The sequence below is a fragment of the Homo sapiens genome, chromosome X, assembly GCF_000001405.40.
Source record: "Homo sapiens chromosome X, GRCh38.p14 Primary Assembly".
Taxonomy (NCBI): Eukaryota; Metazoa; Chordata; class Mammalia; order Primates; family Hominidae; genus Homo; species Homo sapiens.
The window spans coordinates 25,458,729-25,478,591 of NC_000023.11; the positions used below are offsets into that span (position 1 = coordinate 25,458,729).

A 19,863-nucleotide genomic window follows, 5' to 3' on the forward strand; every position below is an offset into this window, starting at 1 on the left:
TAAATATTATAATAGAGACATATAAAAAGTATTACTAGCAGGTAGGGAACCCTTGAAAGAGAAGGCAGAATTTGAGCTGGATCATGAGGGAAGAGTAGAAGAGGTTCACTGGAAAGGGAAAGTGGGGGAGAATTTTTCGGGTAAAGGCAAGCAAAAACAAAGGTATTATTTTAGTCCCGGTATGCTTGGGGCTATCTATGGGAAGTCTAGTCTGATAGAGATAAGGCTGAACAAAAAGGCTAGCCAGGTTGTGACGGGCCTCCCAAAGGGATTCATTTGCATGTGGAGTTGTGGCATGCCTTATCACTGTCATTTAAAAACATATATCAAGTAATTTATCAATATTTTATGCAGATTGCAGTTAACTCTGATATAGTCATGGGCAGGCAATAACATACCTCTGTACTTTTTAGTTTACTTGTGAACTCTTTATTTTTTAGTGTTTACCAGAAGGTCAAGTAGGCAGAAACCAAACATTGAAGTTAAGGGAAATACACTGTGATGGTTAATATTGAGTGTCAACTTGATTGGATTGAAGGATGCAAAGTATTGACCCTGGGTGTGTCTGTGAGGGTGTTGCCAAAGGAGGTTAACATTTGAGTCAGTGGGCTGGGGAAGGCAGACCCACCCTTAATCTGGTGGGCACAATCTAATCAGCTGCCAGCGAATATAAAGCAGGCAGAAAAACGTGAAAGGGCGAGACTGACCTAGCCTCTGAGCCGACATCTTTCTCCCATGCTGGATGCTTCTTGCCCTCAAACATTGGACTCCAAGTTCTTCAGTTTTGAGACTCGGACTGGCTCTCCTTGCTCCTCAAGCTTGCAGACAACCTCTTGTGGGAGCTTGTGATCATGTAAGTTAATACTTAATAAACTCCCCTTTATACATCCTATTACTTCTGTCCCTTTAGGGAACCCTGACTAATACATACAGAGAAACTGTTTGTGGGGAAAAAACACAAATTGGTCATTTGGAACTATAGTGACCAAGTACACAATTCAGGAGAGAGAAATTCATAGGAATAAAAATGGCATAATAGAATATGGGTTTTATCTATATAAGATTATGTCATCTGTGAACAGAGATAATTTTACTTCTTCCTTCCTGAATTGAATGCCTTTTATTTTTATACTTGCCTAATTGTTCGGGCTAGGACTTCTTATACCATTTAGAACAGGAGTGGCAGAAGCAGGCATTTCTGTCTTGTTCCTGATCTTAAAGGAAAATCTTACAGTCTTTCACCACTGAGTATGATGTTAGTTGTGGACTTTTTATCTATGACTTTTATTATTTTGGGGTAATTTCCTTCTATTCCTCATTTTTGTGTGTCTCTATTATGAATGGGTATTGAATCTTGTCAAATGCTTTTTCAGCGTCATTTGAAATGATCATGTGGTTTTTTTCCTTCATTCTGTGAATGTGGTGTGTCACATTGATTGACTTCAGATGTTGAAATATCCTTGCATTCCAGATATAAATATCATGGTATATAATACTTTTAATGTGTTGTTGTTGAATTCAGCTTGCTTGCATTTTTTTGGGGATTTTTGCCCCAATTTTCATCAGACAAATTCGTCTCTAGTTGTCTTGTAGTGTTTTGTCTGGCTTTGGTATCAGGTTAATGCAGGCCTCATAAAATGATTTTTGAAGTATTCACTCTTCTTAAATTGTTTGGAAGAGTTTGAGAAAGACCGACGTTAATTTGTATTAGTCCGTTTTCAGACTGCTATAAAGAACTGCCTGAGACTAAGTATTTTGTAAAGGAAAGAGGTTTAATTGACTCACAGCTCCACATGGCTGGGGAGGCCTCAGGAAACTTACAGTCATGGCAGGAGGTGAAGGGAAAGCAAGCACCTTCTTCAAGGTAGCAGGAGAGAGAAGAAAGCAGGGGAAACCGCCACTTATAAAACCATCAGATCTCATGAGAACTCACTATCATGAGAACATCACAGGGGAAACCACCTCCATGATTCAATCACTTCCTACCAGGTCCCTCCCGTGACATGTGGGGATTATGAGGATTATAAGTCAAGATGAGATTTGGGTGGGGACACAGAGCCAAATCATATCATAATTCTTCTTTAAATGTTTGGTGAAATTTTCCAGCAAAGACATCTGGTTCTACAAAAACTAACAGATGCTGGCAAGGATATGGAGAAAGGGAACCCTTGTACACTGTTGGTGGGAATGTAAATTAGTACAGTCAGCATGGAAAACAGTATAGACATGTCTCAAAAAACTAAAAATAGAGCTACCATATGATCCAGCAATCCCACTTTTGGGTATCTACCCAAAGGGGGAAAAATCAGTATATCAAAGGAATACCTGTACTTGTGTTTATTACAGCACTATTCACAATAGCAAACATACAGAATTAACCTAAGTGCCCATCAAGGGATGAATGGATAAAGAAAATGAGGCATATATGCACAATAGAATACCATTTAGCCACACAAAAAAGAATGAAATATGTCATTTGCAACAACATGGATGGAACCAGAGGTCATTATGTTGAGAGTAGAATGATAGATGCCAGTGGCTGGGAAGGGTGGGTACATGGTAGGGGACAAAGGAGAAGTTGGTTAATGGGTATAAACATACAGTTAGCTAGAAGGAATAAGTTCTAATGTTTGACAGCAGAGTCAAGTAACCATAGTTAAAAACAATGCATTGTATATTTCAAAATATCTAGAAGAGAGGACTTGAAATGTTCCCAAAACATAGACATGATAAATACTGGAAGTGATGGACACCCCAAATACCTTCACTTGATAATTATACATTCTATGGATGTGACAAAGTATCACATGTATACCATAAATATATACAAATATGTATCAATCAAAAAAGACATTTGGTCCTGAACTTTTCTTTGTTTGGAGGTTTTTGATTACTGATTCAATCGTCTTACTAGTTATTAGTCTGTTTTGCATTTCTTTATGATTCAGTCTTGGTAGGTTGTGTGTTTGTAGAGATTTATCCATTTCTTCTAGGTTATTCAATTTGTTGGCCTACTATTGTTTATAGTATTGTCTTATCCTTTTTATTTCTGTGGCACGACTTGTAATACCTTCTCTTTTGTCTTAGTCTGTTGGTTCTGATACAACAAAATACCTTTGAGTGGGTCATTTGTAAACAATAGAAATTTATTTCTCACAGTTCTAGAGGCTGGGAAGTCCAAGATCAAGGCACCAACAGGTTCACTGTCTGATGAGGGCCAGGTTTCTGTTTCCAAGATGTCTGCTTCCTTCAGAGTAGATCACATCCATGAGGGCTCTGCCCTCTTTACTTAATTACTTCCTAAAGGCCCCACCTCTTAATACTATGACATTGGCAATTAAGTTTCAACATGTGAATTTGGGGAGACACATTCAGACCATAGTATCTTTTATTTCTGATTTTGCTTATTGGAGTCTTCTCTTTATTTCTTAATCTAGCTAAGAGTTTATCAATTTTGTTTATTTTTCAAAAAAGCAGCTCCTAGTTTTGTTGATTTTTTTCTATTTCTTTTCTATTCTCCATTTCATTTATCTCTGCTATAATCTTTATTATTTTCTTCATTCTGCTATCTTTGGGTTTAGTTTGTTGTTCTTTATCTAGTTCCCTGAGGCATAAAGTTACGTTGTTTATTTGAGATCTTTCTACATTTTATATTTTTAACTATTATTTTAGGTTTGAGGGTACATGTGCAGGTTTGTTATATAGGTAAACTTGTGCCATGGGGATTTGTTGTACAGATTATTTCACTACCCAGGTACTAAGCCTAGTACCCAACAGTTATTTTTTTCTGATTCTCTGTCTCCTTCCACCCTCTAACCTCAGGCAGTCCCCAGTGTCTGTTGTTCCTTTCTTTGCATTCATGAGTTCTCTTCATCTAGCTCCTATTTATCAGTGATAACATGTGGTATTTGATTTTCTCTTCCTGTGTTAGTTTGCTAAGGATAATGGCCTCCAGCTCCATCCATGTTCCTACAAAATACATGATCACCTTCTTTTTTATGGCAGCATAGTATTCCTTAGTGTATATGTACCACATTTTCTTTATCCAAAGTATCATTGATAGACATTTAGGTCGATTCCACATCTTTGCTATTGTGGATAGTGCTGCAGTGAACATTCACGTGTATGTGTCTTTATGATAGAATGATTTATATTTCTCTGAGTATATACCCAGTAATGAGATTGCTGGGTTGAATGGTAGTTCTGTTTTTAGCTTTTGGAGGAATCTCTATACTGCTTTCCATAATGGTTGAACTAATTTACACTCCCACCAACAGTGTATAAGTGTTCCTTTTTCTTCACAACCTCACCAGCATCTGTTATTTTTTTGACTTTTTAATGGTAGCCACTCTGACTGGTGTGAGATAATATCTCATTGTGGTTTTGATTTACATTTCTCTAATGATCAGTGATAATGAGTTTTTTTCATATGCTTTTTGGCCACATGTATGTCTTCTTTTGAAAACTGTCCATGTCTTTTGCCCACTTTTTAATGGGGTTGGTTTTTTTCTTGTAGATTTTTCTTCTGAATTTTTGTGTAATATTTTTTTCTTGTAAATTAGCTCTTTGTACATGCTGGATATTAGACCTTTGTCAGATGCATAGTTTGCAAATATTTTCTCCCATTCTGTAGGTTGTCTGTTTACTCTATTGATAGTTTCTCTTGCTGTGCAGAAGCTCTTGTTTAATTAGATCCTATATGCCACTTTGGTTATTATTTGCATGGGACATCTTTTTCCATCCCTTCACTTTCAGCCTGTGTGTGTCATTAAATCTAAAATGAATTTCTTGCAGACAGTGTATAGTTAGACACTGTTTTGTTAAAAAAAAATCTGTTAGGCTAATCTATGTCTTTTGATTGAGAACTTTAGTCCATATTAAAATAATACTTTCAAAAGTATTCATTTATGAATTTACCTTTACTGGAGAACGCTATATTTTTGTACGCTTTGAGGTACTACCCAGAATCCTTTCATTTTAACTTGAAGAATAGTCTTTAGCATTTCTTTTAGGGCGTGTCTAGTGGTAATAGACTCCCTCAGCTTATGTTTGTCTGAGAATGTCTTAAGATCTCTCTCATTTTTGAAGGACAGTTTTGCCAGATATAAAATTTTCACTTTTCTTTCAGCATTTTACCTATATAATCCCATTGCCTTATGGCCTGTAAGGTTTCTGCTTAGAAATCCACTGATAATATTATTGAGGATCCCTTTTATGTGATGAGTTGCTTTTCTCTTGCTGCTCTCCAGATTCTCCTTTAACAGTTTTATTATAATGTTTCTCTGTGTGGGTGTCTTTGGATTTATGCTACTTGGAATTCATTGAATTTTCGGATTTGTAGACCTGTGTTTGTTATAGTTGACGTTTGCATTTCCCAAAGTTTATACGTTGATGTACAAACCCCCAGTGGAATGGTATTTAGCGGAGCCCTCAATGTGGGATTAGTGACAACAGTGAGCTTGCACCCTCTTTTCATATGCACACAACAAAGAGGTCATGTGAGCATACAGCAACATGGTGGCTGCCTGCAAACCAGGAGAAGACGTCTCAGAATGAAATCTATACTGGTTCCTTGATCCTGGACCTTCCAGCCTCCAGAACTGTGAAAAAACAAATTTACATTTTTTAAGCCACCCAGTCTATGGTATTTTGTTATGACAATCTGAGCAGACTAAGACCATGTCTTTCCTTAAATTTGGAAAGTTTCTAGCCATTATTTCTTTAAGTAATGCCCTTTCCTTTTCTCTCTCTCTTCTCCTTCTGAGACTCCCATTATGTGTATTTGGCCCACTTGATGGTGTCCCATGAATCTTTTAGGGTCTTTACTTTTCTTCATTATTTTTGCTCCTCAGACTCAATAATTTCAAGGACCTGTCTTCAGGTTCACTGATGCTTTCTTCTGCCTGTTTGAGCTTTAGAATTTCAGCTTTAGAATTTCTGTTTTGTTCTTTTAGAAATAATTTCTCTTTGTTGATATTCTTATTTTGTTTATATATCATTTTCCTGGTTTTCTTTGGTTCTTATAGGTGTTTGAGCATATTTAAGGCAATTATTTTAAAGTATTTGTCTAATAAACATAATTCCTGTATTTCTTCAGAGATAGTTTCTGGAGATTTATTTTGTTCCTTTGAGTGGGTCATGTTGTTCTGTTTCTTCTTGTACCTTTTGATCTGCTGTTGAAAATTGGGCATTTGCAAAAATAGTCACTTCTCCCAGTCTTTGAGACTTGCCTCAAAGACCACCACTAATTAGTGGGCCCTTGAGCCTTAGGGATTAGTCCAGCGTGAAGGCTTAATTCTCAGGTCTCTTCTGGGCATGCATCCTGCCTGTTTGTGTGCCCTTTTTTTTTATTCCCCTGTATACATTGCTGTTTTAAAATTTCTTAATTTCCCATAGATTCTTACCCCAGTTTTTTTCAGGGTATTACATATTCCGCTGTATTCCTCTGCCCACAATATCTTGCACCTGGCGTCTGAAGGTCTGCAATCCTCCTGCCGTTTTCCCATACTATGGCACCCACCATTGCCTTCCCTGGCTTCTGCTAGCTTGAGATCCAAACTATTCTACTATTCCCTGTCCGAGCTCTGAGTCAGGCAAACAGAAACCAGACGCTTGAACAGCCTATGGACAGGATAGAACATTGCAAATATCTTCTCTTTTTTTTCTGGCTCAAGGAAGGGAACCAGGCATTGGGCCACTTCCTCCTGAATTCACTGTTCTGGGGAGAATGTGGGCAAAGGTCAAAAAAAGCCAAAAATTTCCTACCATTTTGAATGAAGCTTTTTGTTGATTAGGTGTTTGCTTCATTGCTATAGATGTTTGACTAGGGGTCTATAAAGTTATTTTAGTCAATCTATAGTTTTTTTTAATGTTTCCATGGAAGAATGAGGACTTGGAGCTTTCTAGTCTGCCATCTTGCTGATGTCACTCTCAGAATAGGAGTTTTAAAGCAGAGCAAAACCAATATGAATAAAGAAATGGAATTTCATTTGGAAAGTTTACCCTAGTCTCAAAGACTTAATTATATTCTTTTATGAGATATAGTGGTAATGATTGGATATCTTTGCCTGACATGGAAGCTAGGCCCAGAGATCTATTTGAGTATATCTGAGAGCCAGGCAGGATAGGTCTGAAAGAAACAATTTGCAAGAGGAAATGAGATGACATTTGGGATATAATTTATTCAGGGCTCTAGATTATAAAAGCCATATGGTACTAGAAATGGTATGTATTCAGTAGGAAGTCATTCAACCATGGTGACAGAGGAAGAGGCCAGATAACTTCACATGGCTTTGTCACCACTGGGAGCCTTAGCAGTCTCCACTGAAGGGGGAAGGTTGAAGAGATCAAAGAAATAGTGTCAAGTGCAAACTGATAGGAGTTGCTCATGATTACATGTGAGAAACCTCTTGGGGACTGCTAGAAGTACGTGGTAGAGTGGAATGTGTGGGGGATACTTTTTATCAGGCTAGAAATCTTAGAGGGATGGTAAAATCCAGAACAATTTGGTTTTCTAATGTTAATGGGATTCTCCAGGCTGATGAGGTCTGAGGATGTATGTGTAACTGAAAAATTAATTTTAAAATAAAGATCCAATGAAAAGGTTTTGCTTCAAACCATTTCAATAGCATGGTGTAGGTATAAGCCAAAAGTTAACATATACTATGTGTACCACACTGGATCATTTAGAGCTTCCTTTAATAGCGTGGAGCTTCTGTGAGGCCTGTGCTTCAATTTGGTCTGCCATTAGCCAATCTTGGACAGCAGTAATACCTAGCAGGAGCAGTACCAATGCTGTTTTTGTACTTCTTCAAAATGCATCTGTAGCTAGCATTTCTTTTTTTAATAAAACATTATTTCATTTTTACATTTTAATTGACAAATAAAATTATATATACATTTAGACTGTACAACATGATGTTTTGATATAAGTATACATTGTGGAATGGCTAAATCAAGCCATTTAACATATGTATTATTTCTTTTTTTTCTGAGATGGAGTCTCGCTCTGTCACCCAGGCTGGAGTGCAGTGGCACGATCTCCGCTTACCGCAACCTCTGCCTCCCAGGTTCAAGCGATTCTCCTGCCTCAGCCTCCCATAGCTGGAATTACAGGCGTGCGCCACCACGCCGAGCTAATTTTTGTATTTTTAGTAGAGACAGGGTTTTGCCATGTTGGCCAGGCTGGTCTTGAACTCCTGACCTCAGGTGATCTGCCTGCCTCGGCCTCCCAAGTGCTGGGATTACAGGCGTGAGGGACCGTGCCTGGCCTATTTCACATACTTATTTTTTGTGGTGAAAACACTTAAAATCTACTCTCAGTGATTTTCAAGTATACAGTAATCATTATTAATTATAATCACCATGATGTACAATAGATCTCTTGAACTTACTCTCATCTAACTGAAATTTTGTATCCTTTGATCAACATCTCCCCAGTCTTCACCCCCCAACCCCCGCCAAGCCTCTGGTAACCACCATTCTACTCTTTACTTTTATGAGTACAACTTTTTAAGATTTCGTATATGTGTGCTCTCATGTGGACAGGATAGAACATTGCAAATATCTTCTCTTTTTTTCTGGCACAAGGAAGGGAACCAGGAATTGGGCCACTTCCTCCTGAATTCACTGTTCTGGGGAGAATGTGGGCAAAAGCCAAAAAAAAGAGCCAAAAATTTCCTACCATTTTGAATGAAGCTTTTTGTTTATTTGGTGTTTGCTTGGTTGCTATAGATGTTTGACTAGTTTCCAGGCCTCTATAAAGTTATTTTAGTTGATCTATTTAGACAGTCTAAATAACTATAAAGTTGTTTTAGTCAATATATAAGATATTTTTCATATATAAGTATATGAGATCATGCAATATTTGTCTTTCTGTGTCTGGCTTATTTCATTTAGCATAATGTCCTCCAGGTTTATTCATATTGTCACAAATGACATTGTCCTTCTTTTTAAAGGCTGAATAGTATTTCATTGTGTATATATACCACATTTTCTTTATCCATTCATCCCTTGATGAACACTTAGGTTGATTTTGTATCTTGGCTATTTTTTTTTTCTTTGAGACAGAGTCTGGCTCTATCACCTAGGCTGGAGTGCAGTGGTGCAATCTCAGCTCACTGCAACCTCTGCCTCCCAGGTTCAAGCGATTCTGCTGCGTCAGCCTCCTGAGTATCTGGGATTACAGGCACCTGCCACCACGCCCAGCTAATTTTTTGTACTTGTAGTAAAGACGGGGTTTCACCATGTTGGCCAGGCTGGTCTCAAACTCCCGACCTCAGGTAATTCACCCACCTTGGCCTCCCAAAGTGCTGGGATTACAGGCGTGAGTCACCATGCCCGGCCTTGGCTATTGTTAATATTGCCACAGTGAACACAGTAGTCCAGATATCTCTTTGGCATACTATTTCCATTTCCTTTGGATATATACCCAGTAGTAGGATTGTTGGATTATACAGTAGCTCTACTTTTAATTTTTTGAGGAACCTCTATACTGTTTTCCTTAATGGCTGTACTAATTTACAGTCTGATCAACAGTATACAAGGGCTTTCTTTTCTTCATATCCTCACCAACACTTGTTATCTCTCATGTTTTTGGATAATATCCACTCTAACAGGTGTGTGGTAACATCTCATTGTGGTTTTGATTTCCATTTCTCTGATGATTAGTAATGTCGAATATCTTTTCATATATTTGTTGGCCATTTGTATGTCTTCTTTTGAGAAATGTCTATTCAGGTTCTTTGCCTGTTTTTTAATTGGGTCGTTCATTTTTATTGCTATTGAGTTGTTTGAATTCCTTATATATTTTGGATATTAATCCTTTATCAGATATATGGTTTGTAAATATTTTCTCCCATTCCACAGGTTGTCTATTCACTCTGTTGATTCACTCTGCAGAAATTTTTTAGTTTTATGTAATCACATTTGTCTATTTTTGCTTTTGTTGCCTGTACTTTCGGAGTGATATCCATTTTTTTTTTTTTTTTTTGCCCTGACCAATGTCACAGAGGCTTTCTCTTATGTTTTCTTCTAGTAGTTTTACAGTTTCACGTCTCCAGTTTAACTGTCTAATTCATTTTGAGTTGATTTTTGAATATGGTGTGAGATGAGAGTCTCATTTTATTCTTTAGCATGTAAATATCATTTCTTTTCCAGCATCATTTATTGAGGAGACTACCCTTTCCTCATTGTGTTTTTTTGGTAATTTTGTCAAAAATCAATTGACTACAAATACATGGACTTATTTCTGGGCTCTCTATTCTTGTAGCTAGCATTTCATTTGCAGTGAGTGGAGACTGCTGGATCCTCTGAGAAGATCCTCATGGAGATTATTGATCTCAGTTCAGTGCTGCCAGGGAATTCAAGTGGGGGCTCATCTGAAATGGCTAAAGCCAATCATTTGTAGATGATCAAAATGTAAGCTAATTATATTCTGAAAGATGGCTCAGAAAAATGGAAAGTAGTGGCTTTGTAGGAAGTGGATGCTATTAATTTTTAATGACACACTTACAGTTTATAAAATCCATTTTTCTAATATAGGCAGATTTATTAAATTTAATTTCTGCCATGTGATAGAATGTTGACAATTTTGCCAAGGAATTCTCTATAGATAAACTTAAAAAGAGGAAGAAAAAATATTTATTTCTTCCATAATACCCACTTAGGCTTTTTAATATAGAGAAGATCACTGAGTCCTGGAGAAATGCATTATCTAATATTTATTCCATTAAAAACAATTTTTTCTTCATTTTATTTTTTAAACTATAAAGAAATGTTTTTATAGTTTTAAAAATAAAACTGCATTCATAATTCGTCCTTTGCTCCCCTCACTACCCTAGTTTCTTTTTCTGATCTTTTCTTTTTCATATAATGAGATCACCACTCACTTAAATATTAAGATGCCCAGGAGTGGTTTTTATCTATTCTCTTTACTTCATTTGTCCCTATATCAAAGTTGTCACCAAGTCCTGTCATTTTTGTCCCCTCAAATTTTCTTGACTCTGTTCTCTCCTCTCCAGCATTATAGAGGCTATCACAATTTCAAACCCTCATGATCTCTCATGTGAGCTCATTTCTTCTTAATTGAGCTTTTAGAATCTACTCTTTCTCCCCCAATACCAAATTCCTTCCTCTGCCATTAGCATCATCTTTCTCAAATGTAATTCTGTCTTATCAGTCTCCTGTGTAAAGGCCTATGTTTGCTTTCCATTCAGTGCTTTCAGAATAAAGTTTAAGATCTTGCCCTGTGTGACAGACTAAAGATGGATACATATACTTTGATACTTTTCCCACTGAGAAATGGGGTCTATGTTCACTCTTATTAAATATGGAATGGGCTCTGTGACTGTTTTAACAAAATTATGACTGAAGTAATCCTGTTCTATTTTCTGGTCCCGGAAGTCAAGAGACTGGCTGTTTATACTTTCTGTTTCTTGGACCAATTACTCTGGGGACACTCCCTCTTATAACCCAGCTACCATGATATGAGAAGACTCCCTCTTATAACCCAGCTACCATGATATGAGAAGACTCCCTCTTATAACCCAGCTACCGTGATATGAGAAGACTCCCTCTTATAACCCAGCTACCATGATATGAGAAGTCCAAGCCATGTGGAGGGGCTATGTGTGTGTGCTTCAGTTGACAGCTCCAGCTGTGCTCGCAACATCAATTGCCAGCCATGTGACTGAGCAATTTTGAACCTCCAGCAGAATTGACTGAGCTTTCAGATGAACTGCAGCCCCAGCCAACATTTCATTGCAACATCATAGACCTCAAAATAGAACCATAGAGCTGAGCCCGGTCAACCCAAAGAAACAGAACAGGTAATAATGAACTGTGGTGCCTCCAAAAAAATAATAATGAACTGTTGTTTTAAGCCACTGAGTTTTGAAGTGGCTTGTTATGCAGCAATAGATAACTGAAAGAACCTGGCTTAAAATGTGCTTTGTGATCCTTTTTTGACTTGCTCTTTTAAACTTACATCCCACAATTACCCCTACAAGCACACTACATTTCAGCCAATCTAAATACTTGGGGAGTTCTTTTGTGACTTGATATGTTTTCATGTACTGTGCTTTTTCCTGGAATACACTTCTACTCCTTGTCTACCTGGAAAATTCTTATTCCCTTCATTACTCAGCTTCCGTCATCTCTTCTGTGAGGGCATTTTTGTCTTCCTTTGGGTGGAATTAGGTTCTCCTTCTACTGAGCTCCAATTGTAGCCTGGATCAAAGATCTTATTACACTCTATCATAATCTTTTCATGGTTTTTATTTCTACTTCTCCTTGAGGGTAGTGATCATGTCTTACTTAACTCTGTGTTCTTATGCACTTAGCAGAGCTCTGGCATAGAGTGGACAGTACATCTGTTTCTATGTCTCTGTATGCTTGTGTGTGTACCTGTTTGTGAAGGGGCAAGGTATATTTATGGGTCTGAGGCAGAAAAAATATAAGACTAATATATTAGACTGTCTTAGGCTTTTCCTTTCTTCTTTTTCAGGTAAAATATGATTCAATGATTTGGTGTGTGATGGCAGAAACTCCTCAGAGTAATTCTAACTAGGAGGCCCTCAAATTAAATTTCAGGCAAGATAAGTAAATTTGATAAATTTTAAAGAATTATTTTGGACTAGGGATATCAAAATTCAGCCCCCCCCACATATATATATATATATATATATGTATATATATATATGTGTGTGTGTATATATATACATATATATACATACATACATATATATACATATATATACATATATACATATATATACATATATATACATATATATACATATATATATACACACACACACACACATATATATGTTACATATGCTATCAAATCAACTCAATGGTCTATTGGTCTAAGGATTACTTAGGATTAAAGATCACCTCTAATATATTAGGTATGCTTACATTGGTAACATACATATCCCAGTTAGGATAGACAATGTTGAATTAATGACAAAAAAATTCCTCTGCATCTCAGTGGCTATTTTTACTCACATAAGGTCTGCTGCAGTTCTAGAGAGTCTCCAGGAAAGCCTCCTTCCAGTAGGGAGTGACTTAGGAATCCAAGCAGGTGCCATCTTGTGATTCCATCTTTACAACATGGCCTTTTTATTTGCTGAAGACAGGCAGAAGAGAAGGATAATGTAAGACTTTCTCACTGCCTTAGTATGAAATTGAAACATGTCTCTTCCATTTCTTTCCACTCACAGTCCATTTGCCAGAATTAATCATATGGTCCTGCCTAACTGCAAGAAGGGCAGGTACACAGGAAGAAGAAAGGAACCAGATTTGGTGAGTACTAGCAATCTTCCCTCTTTTTTTTTTTTTAACCTCTGTAGCTTATTCTGAGGCTTACATTGTAATTAGTTTTTGATCTGGTAGTTTTGTAAGAACTTTAACCATATGCAAAGAAATCTGATTGCAATTCTAGATAGACTAAATCACTTCTATGATTCCCCAACACAAATTCTATGGTAGGGAGGAAATTCATTTAGAGAAATGGAAGTGATAAATGAAATTTCTATACTGTGGAAGAGATGACTGATCAGTAAGATCAGCTTACAATGGATGATATATGTATGTACCTTGTTCCCTGCACAGCCCTCATGAGTTATTTTCTATGGTTGATTTTGTGATACGTGACCTTGCTTTATGGTAGAGTATGGCTTTCTCATCAAGATTTGGCTTTGATATCAAACAATTGTACATGTTAAATGTGTCTTATTTGTTCCCCTATTCTCACTTTCAAGTATGCAGTATGGCCTTTTTTCCCCTTCTAGTGTCTCTCTTATGTGTTATGTAACTTGTGAAATCTGAGTATAAGACAAATATTCAGTTTAGTCTTTAACCATCTCAGTAGCTTGGGCTTGCTTCAGGTTTCCTGAATGCCATATTTGCATCTTTCATCTAGTAATTACAGGAAAGAGGGTCAAGGAAAGGAAGCAGTAAGTGTAGAAACATCTGGGCCCTATTGTGTAGCTACAATCAGTGCCATCATTAGTCTTTAAGATCCTCACCCCTATTTACTAATAAACAGTGAGTTCATCCAGAGTATCACAGCAATCAAAGTTAAGTGGTGAGGTTAATTGGAATCCAGCAGCCTCCTGTATCCCCAGTCTGTAGCTATTTCTTGTGTTAAGCACAAAAAAATGCTCAATGATCCTGGTTTTGTTTTGACTAAGAAGGGGGAGATTGAAGGAAGTAATTGAGAAGAAGAAGATAGATTTGGATTCTGTAATTCCTTTTTTTCAGGTTTGGGATTTCAGCGCAGAGCTTGAGGGGAAGAAGGATCAGGAATTCTCTGGTGTTGCTCTTTCCTCTTTGTGACCCTATGAGGTTAGAGGCACAATATTCAGCAGCCTCCTACCCAGCTGGTAGAGGACGGGGGCGGAGAAAGAAGGGGCAACATGAAAAACTGGGGAGTCTGATAGACTTCCCAGTTTTTTCTCCATCCATGCATATGTGATTTAACTTTTGGATTTCACTGGCTTGAATCATTTTTTTATGTGGCTGGTGTGCTTCTCATTCAAGGTTTCTGTGAGGGCATCCTCCACACAAGGAAAGAGTAAAACTCATGGTCTCTGACCGTCAGCTCACCTCTTCTCATCATTGGCTGTGTCTAACAGGAAGAGGGGCCACACACAGGCATGTGGACATTCCATCTAGACTCTCTTCACACCTTATGAAACAGCTGTCTCTTGGGTTTAGGGACATACATGCTCTAGCATGGCCGACCTTAGGGAGGCCAGATGCAGGGAGGTGAGCTATTGCAGGCTTTGGGAACTCCAGGTCTTCAGTATCCCAGGAGATGGAAGGTATTGAGTTCCAAATGGACAGGTACCCTTGGGCCTTCAGAGTCATCATCCAGCACAGAGGGTCATACTCAGAGGGCCGGAACTGGTCTCTCTGAAGTAGGACCCAGGGCAGGGGCTCTAGTTGTGTAGGTCTCAGAGCAGTACTAATGACCATATTATGCTTTGCGACATCACAGCTGGAAACAGCAGGTATTAATTAAACTAGTCAAAAACAAAGGTGGTAGAAAAAATAGTTAAACTTGTTTCTTTTGATTTTAAATGAACTAAACCCCAAAGGTAATATGGAAATTACTTGCTTATTAGGCCAGTCCATTACTTCAAGTAATGAAAATTTGATATTCTGAAACTTCAAACTGCAAAGATTGACCTATATTTTCTCACAATTTGGAGAAACTCCAGAATAATAGCTTTTACCCTATTTTACCCATGGGATTATAAATGAATCACCTAGAAGTAGAGTGGGATTAGGTAAATGGGAGTAGGTATCAATACTGTCCTCTAAGTAACTCTTCAAGAGTGACATGTTGTAGCCCTGTAATTATTTCCCTGTTATTAAGACAAAAGCTGAGTCAAGAGCAAAGGAATGTAAATGTCTGTCTGAAGACCTTTTTCTTTAGCTTTCTGTGGGAGAGACCCTAAGTTGAAAGCATTACAGAGACTTCTCACTTAATGACTATAATTAATATTACATGTGCTATGACCCATTAGGGATGCAGAGAATGACCTGAGTTGAAGTTGCTGGCCATTCTGATATACCGATTAAATATGAAAACAGTACAATATGTTAATGATATAATGCCCTTTACTTCTCTTACACTGCTAATAAAACTATTGCCATCTCCTTCATTCCTTCCTAGGTCATCTAGCCATTCATTTTTAATATGATGAAATAACATTTTTTCTTTATGCTTATTGGATAGACTTTTTTCTCCTATTGCATTCTGATAATTACTTCTTTAGAATTGTGCATAAAATTATAGAATAATAGAGTTGGGAGGAACTTTGGATCTTATCTTGTTCAACTCCTTAACTAATGAAAGTTTCATCAGAGACGGGTACTTCCCTTCTCTCCTTGCATACTGTCAATGATGGACACTCCTGGCTACAAAAGGTAGATGACTCGGGAGGAAAATGAGAATATTTTTTTCTGGATTTTGTCTGAGAATTTAGAGCAATGGGAGTGATTTGTACCCACACAGTCTAAAGTGAAGGGTACATCTATACAGGACTTGCTAAGGGGTGGTCAAGCCATTCTTTCAACTATCAGTTCCCATTACCCTCCTCTAGGAGACCAGAGGGTGCAGGGTAGAATAAGGGAGAGGGGATAACCGCACAGACAGAGGACTTCAGAGGTCTTAAGAGGGTTCCTTTCAAGTCTTTAGCTGACTACTGATCAATGCATGCTTGTGAAAGAACTAACGGAGACTGTGGAAGAAGTCACTTGAAGGGATTACAGAGAAAAATCTCCCGTGCTCACTCAAGGCTAGGAATAGTTACTGTTCCTATCAGCCAGAGATAAATGCTCCTTATGCGCTGTCAAAAATCTCATAATTCATGAGACATTGGGTAGAGTATTAAGAAGTGGAGGAAAATAGCCCTAGATTAAATGATCTGGTCTCAATGAAGAAAGCTTAAAAGCAACTCTGATATTGAAGACAGGAACAAAGAAACTAGAAAAAGAAAAGCAAATGAAACAAAAAATAAGTAGAAGAAAAAATAAATAAGGATCAGAGTGGAAACTAATGACATAGAAAACAAACAAGTAGAGAAAATCAATGAAACCAAAAGCTAGTTTTTGAGAAGATAAATAAAATTGATGAACCTCTAGCCAGAATAATCAGGAATAAAAGAGAGTAAACATAAATTACTAGTATCAGGAGTGGGAGATGACATTACTACAGGTTCTGTAGGTATCAAAAGATTAATAAAGGAATGCTATGAAAAACTTTATTCCAATAAATTCAACAACTGAAATTCTACAGATTTTAAAAGGCTCTACTCTTCCCACATTCAATCCCTATTTCTTAAATATTCTGATGCCTAAATGTCTCTAAAATTTGTTTACTTTTCCCCATCCACAGCATTATATTCTGGCTTAGGCCACCATTTTATCTCATAGTATGAAACTCTTAGCTGAGTCCATGGACTCTCCCTGTCCCTCCTATTAAGAAAAATTAATAATTAAAAAATTATATCACCCCTTCCATTCCTGCTCAAATGGTTTTTTATTACCCTAAGGAGAAGTTCAGGCTTACTAATCTGATTAAACTCGTCCAGCCCTTTTTCTTATCACTCTCCTTCCCCATTCTGTTCTCCAGCAACAAGCTATGCTTTCTGTTGCATCTGAGCACATGCATTTTCCCCTGTCTATAATTCGTTTCTCCTTTATATTAATTTGGCTAGCTTCTACCCTCTTTCAGGTCTCAGCTTAAAAGTACATTCTTTCAGGAAGTTTTCCTTGGCCACTCATATCTGAGATAAATGCTCCTTATGTGCTGTCAAAGCATTGTAAGTGTCTCCCTCCAATGCTTATTACACTATATAATCATTGTCTATTTACGTCTCTGTAACCCTCAATGGTCTGAAAACTCAACAGGATGAGGAAATGCTTATTTTGTTCCTTGTATTGACTCTTCAATATGGCAGAGGCACATAATAGTCTGTTTATAAATAATTGTTAGAGTGATTATTTAAATTTTACTCTATTCAAACCTCAAATCCAATGGCACTCTAATTCTTAACACAGGTTATTTTAGGCAGTGTACAAACAGTAGGCTCTTGATTCTGACTTCTGATTACTGATACTGAAAACATGATTTTCTCCTTCTTAAATTTTCTTTATTTTGTAAGTATTAATATTATCAATCTATTATCCAAAAGTGAATGATGCAGTAATTTAATTGTAGACTTTTGTTACTATTCGTAAACCATCAGATGGAAGTAGAGATTTCAATTGGATTATAGTATTTTACTCCATCTAAGAGTGTATAATTGAGAACTACATTATACTTTATAAAATTGCTTTTGCTTTTAGTAATCTTCCAAAGTTCTTTTCCTTTGGCTTTGTTCTTTTGACCAAAGCTCCTTCTAGAATCAGACACTAAATAACTCCTATTACGGGGGAGAGCCCTTTGCCATCACTTATAGACTAATTCTTGTTTCAGTTCTCTTCCATTTTAAAAATCTTTGGTGATTTTTAAATGAAGAACAGCCTGTCTCTGCTAACCAGAACCTCCTTGGCAATTCCTTTTTTATTTTATACTTTTCTTTTCCTTTCTCCTCATGACTTTTTTTTTTTTTTTTTTTTACTAATTACATAGGTCATTTTGTTTACTGCTAAAAATTTCAAATATGCATTAAGTTAGAAGAGGAAAATAACATCCAGAGATGAAGCTCTGTTAACATGGGGTGTATTTTTCATACCAATATGCTGTCTATTGTTTGACCCTCTCCTTTGCCATGGTTATTTCAAATATTTTCTCCTTATTTTGTTTTAACCTTTGCCCTTAAATTTTGGTTCAAATATTTTAAATATAGAGAGCTTTCTGTTTTGTGCAATAAAATCTATTCCATTTATTTCACTCTTTTTATGCTTAGAAATTACTTCGTCACATAGAGTGCACATATTTACCTATTTTAGTCCTATTTTTTAAGGTTTTAGTTTTTATAGTTAACTCTGTAGCTTACATGTAATTTAATTTTATGAGTTTATTAATTTCCCAGTAGTCAATATTCTTTAAATTATAGTCAGTTGTGTCCATCTTTTCCATTGATTTGCAGTGTTTCTCTAAAGAAATAGTAAAGTCTTTTATAGATTAGTACCTGTTGATAAGTTATTCTATATGTTTATATGATTATTTATATTGTACCAGTATAATACTGTTAGTTATTGTAGAATGTCAAAGATTTCATATAGGCAATTCTCCTATAACTTTTCTTTTTTCCTTATTAGCTGTTTTAACTTGTTTTATGTTTGATAAACTTTGGACTAATTTTATCAAGATTCAAATGATCATATTGGGATTTTGATATTGCTTTATTACTATATATTGCTTTGGAAATAATGGACATATACATGAAATATGTATTATTGTACATATTATAATATTTATATTTATTCAATCTTCCTAAAAATATGCTATATCTCACAGAACTTTTCTGTTACTCATTTATCTTATAGATCCCATGTGTTTTGGATGAAGTTACTTCTAGGTAAGTTAAGTCTTTTTTATTGTTGTTACAGTAAAAGTTAGCTTTATTTCTTTATTTTTTTCATTTACTATTCGAATTAACTGTAGCTGGTGGATTGAAAAAATATTTAAAACATATTTGGTTTATTTCAATATGTGTGTGTGTATGTATATATATATATATATATGTATGTGTATTTTACAAAACAAGTGATATAAGCAGTAGATTTTATTCAGAGGAAGAAGTCATTGCAGGCTCCCATAGTTGACTAAAGGTATAAGAAAGATAAAGTATTTAAAAATGGACAGAAAAGATAGGGCTATTTGTGAAAATTCAGGGCAAACAAATGTAGAGATGAGCAAGGTTTATTCAGGCTCAGTGAACAAAGCACCTAACTTTGTTAATTCTTGGAGATAGTTAAGGTTAGAAAGTGCTAAGATTGTGGCAAACCTTGGATGCTAGATAAGGGTGATAATTCAAACATCATTATAGTCACAGAAGAAGAGACGATCATGTCAGCAAAACCTATGTTCTTGAGGAGAAAGTAGCATGCCCAAAGTGTCACTTTTGAAAGTAATCCTTAGGTGATGATATGGTTTGGGTTTTTGTCCCCTCCAAATTTCATGTTGAAATTTGACCCCCAATGTTGCAGGTGGGGCCTAGTAGAAGTGTCTGGGTCATAGGGGCAGGTCCCTCATGAATGGTTTAGTGTCCTCCCTCTGTGGTAATGAGTGAGTTTTCACTTTATTAGTTCATGTGAGAGCTAGTTGTTCAGAGTTTGGCACCCTTCCTCCTCTTGCTCTCCCTCTTACTATGTGACACACTGGCTCCCCTTCCCCTT

The 19,863-nt window shown here is 36.6% G+C and overlaps 1 long non-coding RNA gene across 1 annotated transcript; it reads left to right on the forward strand.

The window, feature by feature from the left end:
• The first annotated feature begins 11,399 nt into the window (after nucleotides 1-11,399).
• On the forward strand, nucleotides 11,400-19,048 carry LOC107985652 (uncharacterized). Its single transcript, XR_001755982.2, has 3 exons — nucleotides 11,400-11,828; nucleotides 13,227-13,308; nucleotides 19,012-19,048. It is a non-coding gene; the product is annotated as an uncharacterized LOC107985652 (long non-coding RNA).
• Nucleotides 19,049-19,863: the final 815 nt, after the last annotated feature.